This window comes from Homo sapiens, chromosome 21 (assembly GCF_000001405.40).
Source record: "Homo sapiens chromosome 21, GRCh38.p14 Primary Assembly".
In the NCBI taxonomy this organism is placed as follows: domain Eukaryota; kingdom Metazoa; phylum Chordata; class Mammalia; order Primates; family Hominidae; genus Homo; species Homo sapiens.
The window spans coordinates 40128157-40152816 of record NC_000021.9 but is presented as its reverse complement, the minus strand read 5'-3'; the positions used below and the strand labels follow the sequence as shown (position 1 = coordinate 40152816).

At 44.2% G+C, this 24660-nt stretch overlaps 1 protein-coding gene across 4 annotated transcripts in view; it reads left to right on the top strand.

Annotated features, from left to right (window-relative positions):
• Positions 1-24660, top strand: part of DSCAM (DS cell adhesion molecule) — an 836160-nt gene that overhangs the window by 694342 nt on the left and 117158 nt on the right. For all 4 annotated transcript variants that reach the window (NR_073202.3, NM_001271534.3, NM_001389.5 and 1 more), the window contains 3 exons: positions 8086-8326; positions 10113-10259; positions 18808-18963. Coding sequence is in view for 3 of the 4 variants with exons in the window: in NM_001271534.3 (NP_001258463.1) it covers positions 8086-8326; positions 10113-10259; positions 18808-18963 (544 nt within the window). In the remaining variant the exon portion in view is untranslated. The remainder of the gene's footprint in view (positions 1-8085; positions 8327-10112; positions 10260-18807; positions 18964-24660) is intronic.

Sequence of the window (24660 nt, the reverse complement as noted above, 5' to 3'; positions counted from 1 at the left end):
GTTCTAATCATTCACATCCAGGCAGGTGCAGTGAGCATTTGCACGTCTACTGTTTTACTGTCCCTTTAAAGGATGATGCATCTGCCACAGGCGGCTTGCAGCCGACTGATTGAGAAGGACATATAAAATAAGTCACTTGCACACCGTGCAAATACATTGACATGGTGCGACTGTTGTCATGGAGATCAAAAGAGAAGGTTTCTTAAAGGAAGTGGAGGTTGGGAGGGATTTGGAAGCTGGAGAAAGGGCATCTGGGAGGATGAAAGGAGGCTGTTGAGGAGGACTACAGGAGAAAAAAACCTGCCAGGCTAGGAAGGGGGAGAGAGCATTCCACAGATGGCAGATAAATGAAAGAAATGAGAAGAAATCAGGATCATTACTGAATCCAAAGGCAAATGAATGGGGGAGTAAAGTTCAACATGGGAAAAACAATCTTTGTGTGAGAAACCTAACAAGGAGCAGGCATGACCTTCTCTTAGATTTGCACTGCGTTCAAGGGGATTTGAGAAGAGGCAAACAGAAAGCACTCACTTAGGAAAGAAGTCGGTTGTTTGTAAATACGTCCTCAAGGATTTCTTTAACTTAAACACATTTCTAAATTTCAACATTTTCCCTGTGGAAAGGGCCTTGTTTTATTGAGTTCTTAAATAGGAGTAGAAGGGAGCCCTTAGTTTTTTGTTTTTTTTGTGTTTTTTTTTTTCCATATGCTTACGTTTCAAAGGACTCCTTTAATTTGTCTTAAGATGACTGGTTACCAGGTGAGATTTGCTGTAAATCTGCAGGTCCATCATCATAAAAACATGTAACCCACCGGCTGGCTGAGTAAGTGAGCAAATTCTCTTTCTGGAATCCTTCTTTTAAGAAGGAAAAAAATGAATGACAGTGTCCAAATAAATTGGCTCATCAGAAGCTATTTTCATCCCTGGTGGGGCCTGGGCAATGAAGCTCAACCCCTCCAAATCCTGCCTCAACCTGTCATCCTTCTGTGTAGGCCAGCAGGCTAAGTCCCAGTGCGGAAGCCAACTCTCAGCTTGAATCCACACTTCCCGGCTGTCACACTAGACTGCTGAGTTCTCCACTTCTGTAGTGGCTAAGCCAGGCCTCTCTTCAACAGCTAAACCATGTGTCTGCAGTCAAGGAATTTCTTCTGACTTCATACCCTTGCTATCAGTCCTTTACCCAGTTAGATTATAAACCTGTACCTGTGATCATTCTTACCCACCTCTTTTTTTTGCATCTCATGTGTGTTCAAAACCATTCTCTTCTCCATCTGCAAGAATATCTTCTGAGAACATCCACAGTGTTGAAGCCCCGATTTAGACAGGGGGAAATAACAAGTGAGATTTCATTCTGTAGGGTTCTTTGCATTCTAGAGCTTGCAATGACATTCTTTGAAACCACGTTTCATTGAGAATGGTGGCCACTAGAGGAGGTAGAAGTGATCAGTGAATGCCAGTGGAGACCAGGGAGGGAGAAGGCTTCTTGGTGGGAGTGGTCTAGGGAAGAGCCCTGGTGAGCTGGAAGCTGAGCTGGCCTGCAGAGAAGGAGTAGTGGGGGTATTCTTTGAAAGAAGAAGGAAGAACATTTTTTGACAACAGCTTTTATAAGGTGGGAATATGTAAGACAGTTGGGATCCCCACCCTTTTTCAGGCAGTCAGAGAGGAACGCAGGTGAGCAAGCAACACCCAGGAGGCATTAGTCTTGAGAGATGAGGCAGCGATCAGATCTCACAACAGGTACTACTGAGATCGGGAGACAGAGATCAAAGAGGCATGGTCAAAGTGGTTTCCTAGGAAATTTGTCTTCTCCAATATTATGCAACTCAGATTCAAAATATGTTTCCAGATCCCTACCTGATTTCTTGTTTTCCTTTTCTTCTTACCCCACCATTAACCTCATTCACTGAGTTTCATGAAAGTGAACCATTATTTCCACCCATGTATCAATTGTTCTACAGTGCTAATTAACAACCTTAATACAGTGTTCTAAAGATCATTTCCCTATAAGGATATATTCTCTATACCCCAGAAAACCATCTCCCTTTGTTCCTAGTAGACACATGCTCCAAGCAAAGATGTCTAAAGCATCATTCAAAACAATTTTCCAGTTAAGGATCTTATGCACTAATTTGCCTTGGGAATATGAAGCCCACTGCCAGACAAATGGATTCACGTGTCTCCACTAAGCACACCTTCCACTCCTACTGACTCATCCATAACTCAGAGTGAGCCTCTAGTGTCATTTTCGAAAACCTGAACCACAGGCCATAACATTTCTTACACTTAATATACAAAATCCCTACATTTATGGATTTTTTTCAGAGGTTGTTTTAAAATACATCCACAAGGATTTCTTTAATTTAAATGCATTTCTAAATTTCAATCTGACTAGTCTATCTACAAATTAATAAAGTAACTTAAACTTTCCCTGATAAAGAATTTTTGCTTGCTTTTATGCATAAAAATATACAATTTTCTCTTCATGTGATCTATTAAATTTTCCTCTGATTAGAAATGCCATGTATACTATTACTTTACAAAACTAACAAACTTTGCAAAAGGGTGAAAAGTTCTCTGAGGCTCTATGAGCGGTTAATACCAAATACAACTTTGGAGAATTCCTACCCTGTACTTGCCTTGAGATAGTTGTTTTAACATATTTGACCTTTTGTTTCTTCATGTGTAAAGAAGCATACTTATACTGTGTGGGGTTTTTTAGGGAAAGAAAATGAAATAATATACATAAAGCACCAATTACAATGGGAAAAAACAGTGTTCAATAAGTGGAAGTGGAGGTGGTAGAGGTAGTAGTAGTTGTGGTCATTGTGGTGGCATTCATGTTGGTGTGGGATAGTAATGGAATGATGGATGGTTGTGGTGATAGTGATATTGGTGTTGGGATAGTGATGGAATAATGGATGGTTGTCGTTATAGTGATGTTGGCACTGGGATTGTGATGGAGTGATGGATGTTGTGGTGACAGTGGTGTTGGTGTTGGGATTGTGATGGAGTGATGGATGGTGGTGGTGACAGTGGTGTTGGTGTTGGGATAGTGATGGAGCGATGGATGTTGTGACAGTGGTGTTGGTGTTGGGATAGTGAAGAAGTAATGGATGGTGGTGGTGATAGTGATGGTGGTGTTGGGATAGTGATGGAGCGATGGATGGTGGTGGTGATAGTGACGGTGGTGTTGGGATAGTGATGGAGCGATGGATGGTGGTGGTGACAGTGGTGTTGGTGTTGGGATAGTGATGGAGTGATGGATGTTGTGGTGACAGTGGTGTTGGTGTTGGGATAGTGATGGAGTGATGGATGTTGTGGTGACAGTGCTGTTGGTGTTGGGATAGTGATGGAGTATTGGATGTTGTGGTGACAGTGGTATTGGTGTTGGGATAGTGATGGAGTGATGGATGTTGTGGTGACAGTGGTGTTGGTGTTGGGATAGTGAAGAAGTAATGGATGGTGGTGGTGATAGTGATGGTGGTATTGGGATAGTGATGAAGTGACGGATGGTGGTGGTGATAGTGATATTGGTGTTGGGATAGTGATGGAGTGATGGATGGTTGTGGTGATAGTGATATTGGTGTTGGGATAGTGATGGAATGATGGATGGTTGTGGTGATGGCAATGTTGGTGTTGGAATAGTGATGGAGTGATGGATATTTGCGGTGGTAGTGATGTTAATATTGGAATAGTAATGGAGTGATGGATGGTTGTGGTGATAGTTGTGTTGGTGTTGGGATAGTGATTGAGTGATGGATGGTGGTGGTGATAGTGTTGTTGGTTTTGGGATAGTGATAAAGTGAAGCATCTTTTTAGTGACAGTGATGGTGGTAACATCAAGGATGATGATGGAAGTAGTGGAGGTTAAAGTGTGGTTTGTTGGTGAAGTTTGTGATAAATATGGTGGTAAAGTTGGAAGAAGTGATAGAGGTGCTTCTACCATTAGGTTAATTTTATGGCAGTGATGTTGATACTGGTGGTTGTAATGTTGGTGATGTCAGTGGTAGAGATGCTATTGCTGGTGGTGGTGGTGTTCACAGTATTTTTGACAGAGATGAAGCTGGTGGTGATGATGGTGGTAAAGATGGTAGTAGTGATGGTGGTGGCTTGGCTGTGTGGGGGACCTGAGGGAGTGGCATTGATGTTGGCAGTGGTGACAGTGACCTGCAGAGGTGGTAAGCATTGATTGGTGGTGGTGGTCATCATGGTGGAGGTGCCAGTTAGTGTTGTAATTGAAATAGAAAGATAACCTAGAGATGAGTTAGCACACTACCTTTGTAAAAAACAGCTTTATTGAGATACAGTTAGCATGCCATAGCATTCCCTATTTTAAGTGTATGATTCAGTGGTATTTCATATGTTTACAGAGATGTGCAGCCGTAGCCATAATTGTAAACATTTGCATCACCCCACAGAGAAAGCTTGCAACCACTGGCTGCTGCTCCCATCCTCTCCCACTACCTTTTAAGTCTGTTTTTAAACCTTATAGTTTGGGGACCTGCAAGCTATGAAACTGAAAGTATATGTTCCCTTTATAAGAAACACATCTCACTTCTTCCTCAGGTGCAACAATTTATTCTGCATGAAAACTATAGATCATATTAGCACCCTGAAAAAAAAAGATGTAAAAACACTACTACCATCAAATAACGCATAACTCTACTCCATATATTTCATTTCAAAATTGGAATATTAAGAAAAATAGAGGAGAGCTCTCTTGTTTGTTCCTTGTGATATAATCCCTTAACTTACCCTATGATATTGCACATCTGGAAGAATAATAATCAAAAAAGCCCTATCTCATTAACAGCCAATTGAAACATGGACTTAAAAAATAAGATGGTCATCTACTTCTGGGACTTGAGTTCAATAAATAAACTTAGAAACAGAGAAACTATATTGTGAAGGTGTCTAACATAGCATTTGTGGTAGTAAATAAACCTGGAAACAATAATATCCCCAACAATTAAAAAAAGGTTAAATAAAATAAAACATCAATATGATGGAATATGATATTTAAAGACTATGAAGTAAAGATGGGAATATAATCATAATAGCATATTAAATGAAGAAGAAAAACTCAGACACTAAATTGTACAGGCTACAAACACAGCTATGTGGGGCAAAACACTTTACTTTAGATAAATAGACTGAAATGCATCAAAATGTGAATAGAATTGCATTGGATAGAAATGGTGGTTGTTTACTTTTATTATAAAACAAAATGAGATAATTATTCCACACAATATTTTGCAGAAGTATCAACTAAGAAAAAATAAGCTTTATTTTAGAACCACAGGACTGAAATGTAGTTCTTCTAAGAAAAATGTAAAGAATTTTCTTTTTCTTTTTAACAAAATATTGAAATGGAACAGAACAAAAACACCTGCGTTGTCTATTATAGTTAAGCTAGTTAGGATGGGTTTTCACCCATGGAGAGGAAACAAGGGAAGATTTCTCCTTTCTACCTGTACAAACAGATCACAGGCAGGATTAATCCCCCCAAACTGGAGGAACTACATGTCAGCAAGCAGGTCCCTTCATTCTTGTGGAGGATTTAGCTAAATTGGTGGCTCTATGAAAACACTTTCTCACAGGCATTTGACTTTACTGTCTACTCTTCTTGACCTGACTCCACAGCCCCCATACTGTGAATCCAACTTGCTGTCTTAGGGAGGCTTAAAGCCTCACCGGGAGCCAGTTGAACAATTAGAATATTTAATGGATGTAAATCTCATTTAAAAAATAATATTATTTTATTTGGGTCACTATATCTAACATTAAAACACTAGGTAAAATAGGGGAAATCTCTTTGTTGGTAAATTTGACTTATAGGTGACGTTTACAGGGAAATTCATTTGATTAATTAATTAGGTCACATAAATGTAATTCAGTGGTTGCAGCAAAACAATTTTCACATAGAGTAATTGAATTTTCAAAACATAGAATCTTGAAATCTATTTCTAAACAGTGAGAAAAGCCATAGCTCATCAATGCAAAAGCCAGCACATCTGTGGATTCAGAGGAGCATAGACATTTGTTTATAATAAAAAAGGTATGAGCTCTTCCACCAGGGTCTAACTCCGAGCCAACAGATACAAATAAATAAATGGTTTACGCGACTGTTTCACTGACACCTGCTGGCACCATGAATATACTAAATTAGATTGGCTGTTGGGAAAAGCAAGTGGAGTCCAAGAAAACCATAAATGGAGAAACTTGCTGTGAAAAACAAAAATGATTTTACTGCTCTTGGATAAGTCAGACTTACTACTAATGACAGGCTGAGGCATGGAATCCCCTGGGAAGTTATTATTAGGCAATCCATAAGTGTTTGCTGAATCCATCAATGCTGTTCATCAGCTCGAAACCTTCTTCTGACTTCTCATTGTCTGCCCTCCCCCGGTCACATTTGGCAGGTTTTCAAGGTCTTGCTCCACTCTGTCCGTTCCCTCCTGACTTACCGCTGGGCAGGTGTGCACCCTTTGCAGGCTCCACTCACCCCATCCTCCTTCTACTTCTCTGAGCCGTGCCCCGCCACCTCCCCCCCTCCGTCAAGCCCACCTGGGCTCTGAGTCTTCCCACCACTTCAGACCACCCATACTCACACTTTCTAGATGCCTGCTGGCCTTCACTTTCTTACCATGCATTTCCACACTTCATAGTTCTCTACAGGTTCTTAAGTGCTTATTTCCTCTCTGCAGGTCGATTATAAACACTTTCAGGACGGAGAAAGCTTTCAGAGGCTTGAGAGATCCAGATCCATAGTTTGTACTTAAATGTATGTGTGTACGTGTATATGTATATACATACATATGTACATGTATACATACATACACATGTATGTGTGTATGTATACATACACGCATACACATAAACACACATATCTGTTGACTGCCTGAAAGTCTACAAAACCTTTATTCCCTAGAGCCTCATCTTGGTGGCATTCGCATATCTTTTTTTACTTTTTGAGACTGAGTCTTGTTCTGTCACCCAGGCTGGAGTGCAGTGGGGCAATCTCAGCTCACTGCAACCTCCGCCTCCCGGGTTCAAGTGATTCTCCCATTTTAGCCTCCCAGGTAGCTGGGACTACAGACACCCACCACCATGCCTGGCTAATTTTTGTATTTTTAGCAGAGACGGGGTTTCACCATGTTGGCCAGGCTGTTCTTGAACTCCTGACCTCAAGTGATCCGCCCACCTCAGCCTCCCAAAGTGGTGGGATTACAGGTGTGAGCCACCGCGCCCAGCCTTATACCATCCTTGAAAAGGCTCTGGTTTCTAAATGAGTCCTACGCATCAGCCTAAATCCTACTTTGACCTGGTGGACCATCTTCACATCAGCAGGGTGGAGTTAGCACCAGCCTCTCTCTTGCCCCACATTTAATCACCCCCAAATCATTCCAGAATGATTCGGGGCTTCATGAAAGAGATTACCTTCCTATTGGGTGTGCACTCACCTTCCCATGCCAGTTTTCAACCTGGAAACACTGTGATTCTGGGATATTTCCTTAGAATGTAAGCTCCATGAGGACGGGGGTCTTTTCTTTTGTCTTCTTACATTTCCAAACTCAATTCTATTCCCTGGTGCCTGGAACAAGGCCTGGCACACAGCAGCGAGCCCGAGAGTTCTTGCTGGGTGCAGGCCTGAGGGTCAGTCTCACCCGGTCGTAAGCGTACCTGGAGACGCCACAAACATGATCTGTATTTTGACACTTTCTCGCCAGTTAGACAAGTCAACCAGTACATCATGAAGGACAGAATGAGAGCGCAGGCTCTGGGGCCCAACACCCATGTTCAGATTCCGCTCCTGCCATGCATACTCAGGTGACCTCCTGTGTCCATTGACGGTCCAGTGGCTCAGAGGGGCTGGGAGGGCCGGATGCATTCACAGGTAAAGGAAGGGTGCCTGGCACAGACCAAGTTGCACTGTACGTGGGTTTGCGGCTGCTACCGGACCACCGCCCCAGCATCGTGGCGATGACTCCACTTTATTTCTGCTTTCCTACGTGGGTGTGGGCGTTGATTTCGCTCTTGTCCTACCTCAAGACTTCTTTAGTGTGTTCTTTTCTCTCCTGTTTAGGCTCCCAAGAAACATTTGCAAAATGGGATTATCCGTGGCTACCAAATAGGTTACCGAGAGTACAGCACTGGGGGTAACTTCCAATTCAACATTATCAGTGTCGACACCAGCGGGGACAGTGAGGTTTACACCCTGGACAACCTGAATAAGTTCACTCAGTACGGCCTGGTGGTGCAGGCCTGTAACCGGGCCGGCACGGGGCCTTCTTCTCAGGAAATCATCACCACCACTCTCGAGGATGGTAGGTTCGGCCGGGGCCTGGTCGTGGCTTTTCCCTCCGCAAAGGTTCCCTCGGGTCTGCCCCGGGGCTCCCCCAACCTCGCACTCCCCCGCCCCACGACTTTGCAGTGACCTGCAGGGCCTGGGGTCTCGGGTGGAAAAGCCTTCCCTCGTGACCTCGCCCACCCCGCTGATCTGCCCGCCCTGGGGCAGGGCTGGACTGCAAAGCCAGCAAGTCCCTCCCTTTTCAGACTCTTCCTCATTCATTTCAGGTACAAGAATTGGGCTTTTCTGGAGTGAAAACAAGGCTCTCTCTATTACTGCAGAAGTCTCACGAGAATGCAGAAATGCTATTTGCTAAAAAACTTTCTCCCAAATGTTAAGAAGGTTTTTTAAAATTTATTTTATTTTTCATTGTTTCCTATTTTCAAGCATTCTGAGTACAGAGAAAAGGAATTTTCAGATTGCACAGTGATCGATCGCCCCCTAGCGGCCGAGATAAATTAATTAGCCCTTCCACCATGTCACTGAGAATAACCCAGAAGCTCAAATTTCCAGTAGTGCTTGAAAATAGAGAACCCTGGTATCCAGAGGCACAGTGTTTTAGGCAGGAAGTTAAGATATGGGGTTATTTGTAGCAATAAGTGGTAGCTTTGAAGGCAGGAAGCTGGCACTACATTTACCTCTTGTGCAGTTAGTCATTTGATCATAGATTTTTTTTTGAGACGGAGTCCGGCTCTCTCTCCCAGGCTGGAGTGCAGTGGCGCGATCTTGGCTCGCTGCAAGCTCCGCCTCCCGGGTTCACGCCATTCTCCTGCCTCAGCCTCCCGAGTAGCTGGGACTGCAGGCACCCGCCACCACGCCTGGCTAATTTTTTGTATTATTAGTAGAGACGGGTTTTCACCGTGTTAGCCAGGATGGTCTCGATCTCCTGACCTCGTGATCTGCCCGCCTCGGCCTCCAAAAGTGCTGGGATTAGAGGCGTGAGCCACCGCGCCCGGCCCTTGATCACAGGTTTGCGGAGGCAGATAGGACTTGCACCTGTAATATCTGACAATTTTTGCGAGGAGAGGAGTCTTCAATGACTTGCAGCCTGAACACTGGAATTGTCTATCTTCATAATTGCAATAGTCGTTAAATATGCCTTTGTTTTTGCTTCAATGCTCATTTTTCATTAAGATGCGTGTCTCAGCCAGTATTTTGCACCGCCCCAGCGCCAACATTTAAGGTTTACAAAAGCTCAGTACTAAAAATATTTTCAATATTCTTCTGACCTGTCTATGGTCTCTCTTCCCTCTAGAGAAAGGGATGAGGATGAGACAGGAGAAATCTATGATTATGTTTCTACTTTTTAGCACTTTACAATGGTTCAGCTTCCAATTTATATGCCAGATATTACTAAATACAGAGGTACCGTACTCTATAAAGTAAATGCAACTTAAAGAAGTAACTTCCAAGAGTAAGGGGAAAATAAATCAGACAAACAATGATTTTCTACTCAGGCAATAAAATTAAGAAGGGTACACGACTCAAGTCCCAACAACTGTCCTAAAAGTAAAGAAACTAAGTTGGAAAGAGAGACTATGGAATCCATTAGAATATATGCATTGACTCATGATATTTTACTGAGCACTGAGTTATCATAAGATTTTTCCAGGGAAGTGATCTTTGTTATTTTTTCTTTCATTTTGGGGTTGAGTGCAATTTTTTGCTTGCATATTGAAATATTAAAATACGTTGCTTTTTCGGTTATTGCTTTGCTCATAAACCACCCACAGTTATTACAGATTCTAATTATTTGATTTCAGTGCCCAGTTACCCCCCCGAAAATGTCCAAGCCATAGCAACATCACCAGAAAGCATATCAATATCCTGGTCCACACTTTCCAAGGAAGCCTTGAATGGAATTCTCCAGGGGTTCAGAGTCATTTACTGGGCCAACCTCATGGACGGAGGTAAGAGGACTAAACTAGGACTTTGGGTTTGCCTCCAGAGAATGCATGATGGAATTTGCAGACCCCTCCTAGTTCCTAACAAGGGGCTCAGGATATGGCGGGCACCTCTTTATCAATAGACACTTTCCCCTTTTCTGTCATCCCTCATCTGACATTTGAACAGGTCTCTTTGTTTAAAACATCACACACCTTCGAAACCCAAGTTGAAGCCTAGGCGGGGGCGGCACTTGGGAAATTTCAACATGGATGTATTTTCCTAATTATGTCTATGTCAAGGCTCTGCAGGCAGCACCAAAACCTCCATCTCTATCTAGAACATTCTGTGTGATATGTATTCTAAAATGTTGGCCTCTTCCTACTTCCCAAATAGAACTCCGCGGGGAAACGTTAAATTTCCTGTAGTTGTGCTGTAAGTGGGTGTGGGAAGAGTGCCCAGGCACATGGAGGGGGGCACTCAGGAGGGGGCCAGGAAGTTCAGGGCCCTCCCGTTTTGTCTCCTGTTTCTCTTTCTCCTCTTCCTTCCCCTTCTCCTCCTCTCTCTTTTCCTTGTTCTTTATCGTGTGTGTGTGTGTGTGTGTGTGTATTTCAAGTGGTAGGGCAAAATGTTCCTGTTTGTTTAGGGCAAGGCTTTGAATAAACGACTTTCTCAAGTGGACATAAGATTGGGGCCACAAGTTTCTTGCAGCAACACCTCAGTGTCTTCGCCCTCAGGCTGCGAGTGGTGCCCACCAGGCTGGGCCGGGCTGCGTGAGTGTGCTGGGGCAGAGCGAGGCTGCAGCCCCCAGCAGGAAAGGCCTCTGGAAGCCTGCTCACTGTCTCTGTCCCAAGCCTGGGGGGCCCACACCTGCCTCCTCCCCTGCCCTCCATTTCCAGCCCCCTCCTGCACCCCCCGTCACTGGACAGTACCTTCCCTCTTGTTTGGGGTTTCTTTTCTTTTTTTGAGACAGGGTCTCCCTCTGTCACCCAGGCTGGAGTGCAGTGGCACGATCTCAGCTCACTGCAACTCTCCACCTCCCCGGGCCCAAGCAATTCTCCTGCCTCAGCCTCCCAAGTAGCTAGGATTGCAGGCGTGCACCACCACACCTGGCTAATTTTCAGTATTTTTAGTAGAGATGGGGTTTCGCCAGCTTGGCCAGGCTGGTCTTGAACTCCTGGCCTCAAGTGATCTGCCCACCTTGGCCTCCCAAAGTGCTGGGATTACAGGCGTGACCCACCACGCCCAGCCTGGGGCTTCTTTCAACCCCTCTGACTGGGTGTGATCCCTGATGAGTGCTCACCTCTAATTTTGGGCAAATGCGGTCAAGGACCTATCCCTTCCCTGCTCAGGACCACCTGGATCTGTTCTACCAGGCAGACCCCTGTCCCCATGCAGGTAAACATAGGGCTCCACAGGTGGCAGCAGCCTCCACGGTTGGTGCAACAGTAAAGGCAAGAAGACACATGAGCAGCACAAGCATTACTGGCTCAGCGAGCATAGGCCTTTGAGCCTTAGCTCTGCATGTCCCTAACTGTGTCCCTAACATGTGTTTCTCAGGACTGAGAGCAGACCTCATGCCTTTGTTGCCACATGTAGTACCTGGAGCACTACCAGCCATGGGAGGCAATCTAGAAGGACCCCCCCCCGCCCTCCTTGGTCCTGCAGTAGACACATTTGCCAAACACCCACTCGACACTGAGCTCATGGGAAACACCAAGGTTGCTGTGTCTGTCCCTGTGGAGGTTCCAGACCAGTGACCGAGGGAGATGCTAATGAATACAGAACCACAGACCCAAGAAGGGACAGCCCCACAGAAGGGCAGATTTAAGTAGATGATTCTGTAACACCTTCACCCCTCCCACCTAAACACAAGTTTTAAAACACCCCAGAGTAAAGAGCAATGAAAATTTGCAAAAGTCATCTATTTTTATGGACAAAATACCATAGGATATCATTACATATGTTTCTTCTGATTTCTACTCCTTATATTGAGTGGATGAAATTAAATACCCTTAATGTTCTTTGAAAGGCAGTGTTATGCTAAGATGTCTTTTCTGTTCTTATTGGAAATATTTCAGAATCCAGTGGTGACTTCATCCACATCACCCATATTTTCTAAGCTCACTCACATTTGCTAGCATTGCCTGCTGGTATCTTCATTCTAAAATGAAAGATGTGGCTTCATACCTTTAAAGCTTTGAAAACTTGAATATTCAAAAACATAATTCTTTAAACAAAGAAATGCTTGGGAGTGTGCATGCAGCTTTTTAAAGATACTTTCACTCATGGGATTAAAATCAAAGTGATGAGATAAATGTGCGATGTAGAAGTCTGCACTTCATTTCCGAAAGATAAGCAAGAAACCTTCAGAAACATGAACCTGCCTGCGAATGGTCACTCTTCCTGCTACCTGAGAGATTTCGTTTATGAGGCAGGTCAGTTCACGGGGCTACTGGACACTTTTGCACAAACTCCCCAGACTGCAGCCTCCGGGACTGGCTGGATTCCCACAGACACTGAGCAGGAAGTGACTGCTGACCGACACCACATACACGTGCGCACACACCACACATACATGCACCCCACATACACCACACACCACACATACCACACACACACCTCACAAACATCACATACCACACCACACCCACACATATCCCACACTCACCACACACACCACACCTCACACACCCCACATGCACACACAACACACATACACACACCCCACATACACCACACATACCACACCACGCATACCACACACACACACCACACATACACCACATATCACACCACACACACATCCCTCATATACCACACGCCACATGACACACACCCCTCATACACATACACAAACTGCATGTACATCACCCACCACATGACACACACTCCATATACACCACATACCACACCACACGTACACAAACACCACATACACCTATGAAAGGAAAATATCTTTTTGGCCCCCAAAATCACTAAGGAAAAGTCAAGCTGGAAACTGCTCAGGGCCAACCTGCCTCCCATTCTATTCAAAGTCACCCCTCTGCTCACTGAGATAGATGCATATTTGATGGCCTCCTTTGGAAAGGCTGATCAGAAACTCAGAAGAACGCAACCCTTCCCCTCTCACCTACCTGTGACCTGTAAGTCCCCTCCCCGCTTCCTGTCTTCTTGCCTTTGCTTCAGGTTGTCCTGCCTTCCAGACCGAACCAATATACTTCTTACCTATATTGATTGATGTCTCACGTCTCCCTAAAATGTATAAAACCAAACTGTGCCCCGACCACCCTGGGCACGTGTTGTCAGGACCTCCTGAAGCTGTGTTGTGGGTACGTCCTCAACCTTCGCAAAATAAACTTTCTAAATTAACTGAGACCTGTCTCAGGTTTTCAGGGTCCACATACCACACCACACACACCCCACATACACCATGTACCACACCACATGTACACACCACACATACACACACCACACACCACACCACACATCCCACATACTCATGCATACACACACCACACATACATACACACACACACAACACACACTACACACACACTACACACACACCACACATACACCACACACCATAACCCCAGGCACATCTCACATACACCACACACCACACCACACACACCCCATATACACCATGTACCACACCACACATACACACCACACACACCACACTTACACACCACACACACCCCACATATACATGCACACACACCACACATACACCCCACATACACCACACACCACACCACACGTACACACACCACACATACCACACATACACATACCCCCCATACACTGCACACTATGCCACACATACAGCCCACATATACTGCACACCACATACATACACACCACACACACCACACATACACCACACACCACACCACACATACACCACATATCACACCACACACACCCCCCACACACACGTACCCCACATACACCACACACTCACCACACACACCTCACCTACACCACATACCACACCACACACACCCCGTATATGTCACACACCACACATACACAAACCCCACATACACCACACACACTCCGCATACATATGCACACACACACACCACACACACCCCCAATACACCACACACTACACCACACATACACACACACCACACCACGCACACCCCACACGCACCCCCCACATACACCACTCACCACACCACACATCACACAACACATGTAACACACCCCATGCTACTCACAACATATACCTCATACACACAGCACACACATACACCATACACACACACCACGCACACAGGTACACACACACCATGCACATCGCATACCACAAACACCACACACACCCCCCACACATTCACACAGGCTGAGAGGGGCAAATATTGTTACTACCACTGTAATTAGCAATAGCCCGAATACTTTCCAAAATACGTCTAAGAAAGAATTCTGTTGTTAATGTGGTCAGATGAAATAAAACTGGTTAGTATATTTGATAGGGAAGGTTAAATAAACAATATTTTGATGAATTTTCTGATTTTTTTTTCATGGTCAGAAAGTTAAATCATGGTTAAGGCCTGAAAGAAACAATTTATTTGAGATTGCTAGGAAAGTTGTATCCTTTGAAAAGTTACCATTTTCCTCTGAATTTTTGCTAACTTCCATCTCATCCATCTTTCTTCATGGAAAAAATGGTACATTCTGAAAGGAAGCAACAATTAGGTGCCAACTGGAGTGTGTGGGCAGCTGAGGCTTGCTTCAGAAGCTATTCCCGCACCTATTGTTTTCTGCCTTAAAACCCTCTGAGGATGAGGCAAGATATAAATACACAAAACTATTTTGTTTAAAACAAAATTTTTAATAGAAAAAATCTGATTTCTAAATTTATTTTATATATTTTTTTAATTTTATTTCACTCATGACCTCAACTGAACAATACACTTCAGTTAATGTGTGTGTGTGTGTGTGTGTGTGTGTGTGTGTGTGTGTGTGTGTGTGTGTATTAAACAGCCCTACAGAGGCATGAAAGCTAGACTGTAGAAACTCATGTTTAAAAAGAAAAAGCGTTAAAAAGAATGGCAAACTAAACACTCAGTTTTGTATCTGGCTTTCTTCTTTTTCATTCTTTGCTTTTTATTTCTTCCATATCTGCTAGTCACCTAGTATCTGTCATCAGGAAAATAGCCTTCCTTCACAGCCTATGAGGCGTTCTAGCAGATAGAGCCAACTGTGGCTCAGGTAGTTTTAGAAATCTTAAAATTGGGATTTTGACTGCCTTTGTCTTCATGGTTCATGATAAATTAGTTAATCAAAATAACTTGAACCCCCCCCCCAATGTTAATTCTAATTAGTATATTAACCATTAGCATTTTTAATCATTTTGTTTTAAGTGTTTGCTTTTTTTTTTTTTTTTTTTTCCTTGAGACAGAGTCTCGCTCTGTCGCCCAGGCTGGAGTGCAGTGGTGCGATCTCGACTCACTGCAAGCTCCACCTCCCAGGTTCACGCCGTTCTCTTGCCTCAGCCTCCCCGAGTACCTGGGACTACAGGTGCCCACCACCACGCCAGGCTAATTTTTTGTATTTTTAGTAGAGATGGGGTTTCACCGTGTTAGCCAGGATGGTCTCGATGTCTTGACCTCGTGATCCACCCGCCTTGGCCTCCCGAAGTGCTGGGATTACAGGCATGAGCCACTGCACCGGGCCAAGTGTTTGCTTTCTTTAAGAAGATCAGAGAGGCCAGGTTGTCCTTCTCCCTCCCCACCAGGCTCCTCTTCCTCATTCTGTCTGATTCAAGAGTTGCATTCTGATTCAAGTATTTGCCGGAGGGTCACAGCTTTCTCCTATATTGTGAAATGATCCTACTTTTTCTGTGAGGTGGACACCCTGCACTCTTGGGAAAAAAAGACCTTCATCAGAGTCTCATAACCAGCTACCAGCACCCTGCCCTGATCAGCCCCTCCCCTCAGCTGTATTTTTATTGATTGCGTGTGTATATATCTGTAGGGAGGTACGTGTGTGATCTTTGACAGTGAAGTTTCTAAATCTGAAAAGATCTTAATGAGTTCTATATTTAAAGTTTGTCCATTAGCATATGAGTTTTTAATTAGTTTGTTTAAAGACAGGGTCTGGCTCTATCCTTCAGGCTGGAGTGCAGTGGCACAATCACAGCTCACTGCAGCCTCCAGTTCCTGGGCTCCACCGATCCTCTCACCTTGAGCTACTTGGGAGGCTGGGACCACAGGCATGAGCCATCATGTCTGGTTACATTTGGGTTTTTATCCTAATCCAAAAGACTTATGTTAAATATATTCAGGAAAAGGAATATAATTGAATATGGAAAGACCCGTCCTTCAGAGATGAGAATTTCCAATCCATCTGGGACAACCAAGTATTGATATTTTGACTACCTGGTGACCACACATGCTCACACAGTCTCCTCATTTTCGTAAGCCCTCCGTTGAGATTTCCAAATTGTGACCTTTAACAGCTGGCACCCTGCTGGCCTCCCTAGAAGACAGGAGTCCAAAGGCCTGTCTTTGGGCCATCCTCGCCCTGCTCCCTCCCCAGCAAAGCCCCAGCCTACAGAACTGTCTGCTTCTGGTGCTCCCAGGCCTTTGGCTCCCACTGGGGCCTGGACTGTGGGAGCCACATGGAGCCCCTTTACCCCTCTTCTTGCAACTCCTAGAAGGCACAGGGGCTCTCTGGCATGTGAGGGACAGGCCTCAGCCATCCCATGCAGTATTTGCCATGCTCCTTTAATGCTGTATCCGTTCCACATTGATCTTTTTGGTGACAAAAAAAAGATGAACAAAAGATGTTCCACAGTCATCGTAATCACAAAATACATGGCTATTCATTTGTGAACCTCCATGCAATATCCTGGACACACAAAATACGTGGCTATTCATTTGTGAACTTCTGTGCAATATCCTGGACACACAAGAGAAAAGAAAAACAATGAGCAGGAAGGAAAACCAAGACAGGCAAAAAGCAAAAGCCCGTTTAATCTGGCCGACACGACGGCTCGTGGGTGCCTCCATTTTCAGCCCATTTTCTGCTTTTTCCCAGAGCGACTGAGGAGAGCAGCTGAGATCCGCGGCCTGTGCCCTCAGCCACTGTGCTGGGCTCCTTGATCCTCTCTGTCCCTCGACTTCCTTGTCTGTAAAATGAATGGGTTGCAAAAGTAATTGAATAACTCTGCTGGTTGTATAAGTTACTATCTGTACTTAGAATAGCATAGCGCTGGCACCTAGGCAGGCATGCATATCACATCCACTCCCTATATGGAGGCCAGGGAGAGTGAGAGGGATTGACAAGCAGCTGGATTGTCAGTTGACGAGCAGGTCTGCCAAATCAGAGCTGTTCAACAAGGAACTCCCCAGACCTGCTGGTCTCTTGGGGTAACCGGCCTGCTCTGGGTACCAATGTGTCGCTGACAGCCCCTTCCCCTAGGGGAACAGTTCTCAGGCCCTTCTCATGCTCTGAAGGCGACTCATTTCAAAACCCATCAGCCAAACACCAAGGAAGTACTTAGCACAACATTCGTAAGTTTTCTCAAATTGCCGTGTATCATATGCTGGAGTTGAGAGCGCATAGTGTTCCATCTGTGAATGTTATTAGTTGATCCCACTCCTGAAAGTGAAGCATTTTTAGCTGACACCAAGTTTCTGACACATGGGCATGTCACTTCAGGATTGAAGCTGAGAGGAGTTCACTCCAGGTAAAAAGAGGGGTTGGCTGAGCCACTCAGTTTAGCTCAGGTGTATTTTTTTCTTATTTAAATATGTTATCTTTTCAGCTTTATTAAGGTATAGTTGACAAATAAAAATTGCATATATTTCAGACATGCAGCTTGTTTTGATGTATGTATCCAATGTGAAATGCTCGCCACAATCAAGCAAATTAACAGCGGGTCCACCATCTCACATAGTTGCCATTTTCTTCCTCCACCCCCAAATGATACAAAGTTTCAGTTATGCAAGATGAATAAGTTCTGGAGATCTAATGTACAAAGTGGTGACTATAGTTAAAGACACTGTCTTATAGACTTGAAACTTGCTGAAGAGGGTAGATCAGATATTTGGGATGAAGTTAGGTACTTAAAAATACATGTATGTTAAAGTAGAGCTTGTTTAAAATAACAATAAAACCCCTCAGCTTGCAGAAGCTTCCTAATGAATAGTCGGCAGTGGGGCTGCCAAGTGTGCAGCGTGTGTGTGTCGCCCTAAGTGTGCTGCTAGGGGTGCAGGGGACATTGCTCATTAGCACCTGCTGAAGGGTGAGTGGCAGCCCTGGTGCTGGCCTTGGGTTGATAACACTTAACTTGGAGCGAATTACTTCGTTTTCCAGACCAACGTTCTGCCTTGTGTTCTGGAGCAGTTTGGTGTGAATGTTCTTTTCCAAAGGGCCACGTGACACCATGAGCTCACAGGATGACTGTGCACAGTCCCTTTGAGAATTCTCGTGTCCAGATGATGGCTGGACGGGTGATGGCATGGCACAGGGACAGTCAGTGGGGACAGTGCGGAAAAACGAGCAGAAATGGGCTCAGAAGTGGGATTTTGTTTTCTTGTTCTTGTCCTCCAGAGCTGGGTGAGATTAAAAACATCACCACCACACAGCCTTCACTGGAGCTGGACGGGCTGGAAAAGTACACCAACTACAGCATCCAGGTGCTGGCCTTCACCCGCGCAGGAGACGGGGTCAGGAGTGAGCAGATCTTCACCCGGACCAAAGAGGATGGTGAGAGACGGGTGGGCGGTGGGTCCCAGCAGTTGCTGGAAGGGCTGGGTCACAGAGAGCTCACTTGCCTTTACCCTGCAGTTCATCAGGCTATTCTCAGTGCAAACCTTTGCTGCCCTCCCAAAATATCCCAGTGCAATTCAGACCATTAACTTCCTCTCTTGCCTTTGCTTGATGTGTCTAATCCATTGCTTCTTCTTCCTCTATATTTTTTCTTCTTTCTTTTCTTTTTTTTTGTTTTTTGTTTTTTTTGGCCAAGTATTATTGTAAATAGAAACTCATTTTATCCTAGAGCTGTAATACTTGTCATACATGTTTTGTATCTTGTTAGAATAATTTTAGTAGCTATTCAGCTATTAGTGTAAACTCTGATTAAATCCATCCTTCCACTTCTTGAAAATTATGTACAGACTGAAGTTCTATTATTCTTTGCCAGCTGAATCACTTTAGAATAAGTCCTTAATTTGAGAACTTCATGTTAATTTTTTTTAATTCTTGCAAGAATTCATGGTGATTTAGTAAAAATTTAAATTGCTGCTCATTTTGTTCTACAACAATAATTCTTGCTGTTCCTTACAATTTGGATTGGGTTGTGACTATTACCCAAACGTACAAAAACCATACAACAAAGGTTCTGTATTATTTTAAGGGAAACTCTGAGGGGCCTTGGCCAAGCCTGTTTAAGGAACAGATAAGTTCTGATAAATACTACCGTGGTAGTGAGAAAAGTAGCCTCCACCTTAATAAAGGAAGGAGCAACTGATGTCAAATTGATGCCCACATAGAACCTTCCCAAAATATTCCAGCACAGAAGTATACATTGAGATGAGACATTAGCAGATCTAAATGCTGTGCTGGATTGTCTCTGCAACTTTTGTCTTCTTGCCGGGACTCTGTTCCCCAAGCAGTACAGGGGCGGGAAAGCTGTTGGCCATTGCTGGTCACCTCCTGTGTATGGGCAGGTTTGATGTCTATGCTATCTCCCCCACTACTAGAGTATCAAAAATGCTGTTATTCCATCCCATATCTGCTCTGATGGAAGCAAAGAACACCTGCTCAGGGGCCATGATACGCTCTTCTCTTCAGCCTTTCTGCCCCTGACAATGACTCCCTGTTATTCTGAGCCTGCCATCTTCCACGTCACTCTCTGCTCTCACCTTGGCAAGCCAGGCCTTGCTCCTCCGAGCAGCCCCAGGCATCCACTCTCACCTGGTGTTTTTGCTGCCTCTGTAGCCCTTCTCACATTGTAATGTCTACACCCAAACTAATCCTCATTTGCTTTAGTTTTTTTCTAAAATGCACAGGTAGTCCTTCCAGGGAATGTGCAGGTGTCAGCCAGTTCTGCTCTAAGAAATTGGATTATTTAGGGAATCTAAGGTTCAAATGTAATGCCATTAGGAAGTCACACATCAATAGAGATATCTAGAAAGCTAAGTCCTGAGTGAAGGCAGCCATAAGTTAATTTTTTAAAAATGTAACAGACAAACAGCTGTGCAAATGCTGGCTCTGTCACCTGCTGCCCGTGGGTCTTTGGGCACCTTACCTAAGTGTCTCTGAACTGGATTGTCCTCAGGGACAATCTGCTGTAGCCATCAGACTGCACAGAACCAGTGTATGAGAGCTGAAGTGGTGTCTGAAAACACCTGCTTGCCACAGAGTGGGATGCTTCCTGACCCTCAATATTTGATTATTTGCTCTCCACTCCTTCAGAGTAGGGGTGAAATACTCCTTTTTACATTGCTAGGCAATAATGCAAATGTCACTGGAATTATTATTTAAAGAGCAAATTGATCATCCACAAAATGTTTTGCATCTGCATTTTTGGAAGAATGTACAGAAATCCAATAAGAAGGGAAGGCTCTTCACAGATCCTTATTAACTCACAATTTTAGATCAATTTTTAATTAATATTGGAGTTTTAAGAATCATGGAGTTCTGTCTCAAAACTTGACCCCAAGGCCCAAGGTCTAATTTGTCAATCAATTATGCTTTGCTTTTGTCTCCAGTGCTGATAGTGTATGGAGCTGGGATTGACTATCGAAAACCCTGCCTTGGGTACCCCAGTTACCCCAAGGAAGATGCCATGAATCCCACTTTTGCTGGTGGTATGGGACAAGGACTATGCAGAACTGAGTGTCAATATTTCTTTAGGATAAGTCTGCATTTTCAAAAAGAAGTGGAGTGGTGGATCGCTTGAGGCCAGGAGTTCGAGACCAGCCTGGCCAACATGGTGAAACCCTGTCTCTACTAAAAATGCAAAATTAGCCAGGTGTGGTGGTGGGCACCTCTAATCCCAGCTACTCGGGAGGCTGAGGCAGGAGAATCACTTGAACCCAGGTGGCAGAGGCTGCAGTGAGCTGAGATCGTGCAACTGCACTCCAGCCTGGGTGACGGATCGAGACTCTGTCTCAAAAAGAAAAAAGAGGTGGAGTGAAGATTGGGTGGAAGAAGAGAAGAACTAGAATAATATCACTTCATCTCCCAGGTTCACATGAAAAATTCAATAATTTAGAAACGGTGAAGAATTGTGTCAACCACTTTTGTAGACTCAATACCTAATATAATTAGGCATTTCAGCAGTTTACAGAATTAAATGCTATTTTATTTATCTGATTGGAAGAAGGGACAAAGGACAATTCAGAGAACAAATGCCCAGTCAAATTGATTACAGATCGTATTTATACTTCAATGAGAAAGCTTTGTAATTTTGAAGTTTGGATTACACTTACAATTTCAATTAAATTGTGTAAAAATACAGATAGATTTCCAGTAAAATAATAATTACCAACATTTGCTCAGTTCTTTCTCAATAAGATACTATTTTAGGCTCAGGTTGAAGTTTCAGCGTTTATCAACGTTCTTGCAAGCGAAGAAAGATAGCTACATTAACAGCGAGCATCCGATTCAGTTGTCTATGCCAGACACACGTCCTGTACCAGTCTTCCTAATCTAGGGAGCCTGGAGGCTTAAACTGTGTTATTAGGTCACTGGTCATACTAAAAAGAGAAACTTAACCCTAATAAAGGCAAAATTGTACTTTTGCAAGGGATTATTTGCAATAGAAATATTTGTTTAGAGGACAAGTCTGTGCTTGTTCTCTACAGGTAGTTTCTCTACCACTATCTAAAGATTCTTGGGCTCATAGTCATATTCACAGTTCCATGGACACATTCTCATGTCTGTGGTCATAATCTCAGGGCCATGGACATAGTCTCTTATCCATAACTATAGTCTCCGGTGCATGGACATATTCTCATGTCTGTGGTCGGAGCCTCAGGGCCATGGATATCATCTCTCATCCGTAAATAGAGTCTCAGGTACATGGACATATTCTCATGCCTGTAGTCAGAGTCTCAGGGCCATGGATATCATCTTTTATCCATAAATATAGACTCAGGTGCATGGACATATTTTTTGGGGTCTGTGACTACTGCTCACAGTTCACGTTCTCTTTCCAGGACTGCTCTATCAGTGAGAACTTGTACCCCATTATTGCTGCAGAAACACGAAGGACGACTTGGTGATCTGGCTTTTCTGTTTTTGAGCACAACAGCAACTAAACCTGACTTCTAAAAACAGTTGTGAAATCCTGATGCCATTTTATTTGCCAATACTATAATACGAGTCAAGCCGTAAGGAAAGAGAACACAAACAAAATGCAATCTATTAATCTTCCAATTGCTGTTTTCACTCTGAAGGCAAAAGCTAGTTTCAGCCTTGATCCCTTTACACAAGAGTAAACTTTGCATATGTATCAATAGAGATAGTTAAGTTCAAATATTTACTGAACACATCACTAATGCACCTAACTCTGAAGGTACATGTGAGAGGGCCAGCAGCAGGTGTAATATGTGATCTCTACTCCCTCCCCACCATCAATTAGCAATCTCATTGGGAGGAGATCTGAAAGTAGAGCTAAGAGGAAGCAAAAAAATAAGCTGACATCTGGATACCTCTGAATCTTCTGACCACCCATACTTTGAGCCATACATACTTGTGAAGGTGTGGATAGTGTGTGCCTGTGACGTGTGCTGGGGTGACTATGTGACCACACCTCAGTAGACCTGAAAGGGGGTAGATTGCATGCTATGTTTGCATAGCCACCAGTGGTGCTGCCCCTCAGTAGACACTGGGAAGTACTGCCAATCCACACTGCTCAAGATTCCAGTGCTCTATAGCCTATGGTAGTGTGCCATGTGCAGTGGCAGGTATACCAGCAACACGACAGACAAGATGTCCTAGAAGAGATTCTACCATGTGGCTTTCCACACTCCCTCCACTGCAGTGGATCCCAAACTAGGTTCTTACCTCAAACTAGGTGGGCCTCAGCAGTGCCCAGTGGTAAGCAAGAGGCCCAGTGGGAGACTCCATTCTCTCCCTGACCCCAGCTTCAAGAGCCACCCCACTTCCACTTGTGTTATGTGCTGGGTTTCCACATGATGATTTGGTTAAAGGATCAGTCAAACATTTAAAGAATGAACACTCTTGCTCTAGTGAGAGGAAAGGCCAAAAATACTAGAGTCTTATGGACATGGGAAGAGAAAAGGGACATATGTGCATGCTTGGTGGGATGACAGCTGTGAATGTGACATGTCCCTCCAGGATCGTAGCATCTGCACGGCACGGCATGGCTCAGGAAAAGCCACTGAAAAGTTGTGGGTTCAGAAGGATCTGGCTACCATGGTGTACCACATATGTACATGCATGTTTGTGCATGCACAAGTCACACACACACCTGCCTGTGGCTGTTTACTAAGACCAGAAAAATGATGGTGAAAAAAAATGAAGCTGACTGCGGTGTCTGTGTGGGTGTTTAGTCAGACTTTTGTCCGATATTCATACTTCAAAACAAGGCAATACTGTTTCAGAAAAATGATTGTGGTATTTTTACATTAAGGTATGTTACAGGAGGGCTTACCCACTTGTATTTATTTTCTATGCTGTGGAACAGATTGCTACAACCTTAACACGTTAAAACAATACAAATGTCTTATCTCATCGTTTCTAAGGGTCAGGCATCCAGGTCTGGTTGAGCTGAGTCCCCTGCTGAGGGTCCGACAGATGAATCACGGTGTGAGCTGGGCCTGTGCCCTCATCTGAGGTCAAGGTCTCCCAGGCTCACAGGATATGGGATCTTTTTTTTTTTTTTTTTTTGTTTGGTTATGAGGCTGGAGTCACCAGCTTCCAGAGGCTGCCTGTTACTCCCTGTCACACCCCCTACAGCATGGTAGCTTCCTTCTTCAGGACCAATAGGAAAGTCTCACATGGCTTCCAATCCCTCTGACCTCTTTTGTCTCTGACCTCCATCTCCTCTTCTAAGGGGCGCATCTGATTAAACCCAGCCCACCCAGGAAACTTTCCTTTTCATTAACTGAAAGTCAAGTGATTAGAACCTCAATGATACCTGAACAAGCCCTTCACCTTTGCCACATGGCACAACCTGCCCATGGGAGGAATCTGTCCATCATAGTAACAGATGCCACACCCATTCAAGGGGAAGGAATCACCCAGGCACATACACTAGAAGGTAAGGATCTTGGGGACCCATTGTAGAATCCTGCCTACCACACAGACACGAATGAAATCATTTTTCCACTCTTGGAAAATCTGTATTGAGGATCTAGTATGTTCCAGATACTGGCCCAGGAACTAAAGATGCAGAGAAACAGGATGGGCATGGTGGGGTTTGCAAGCTAG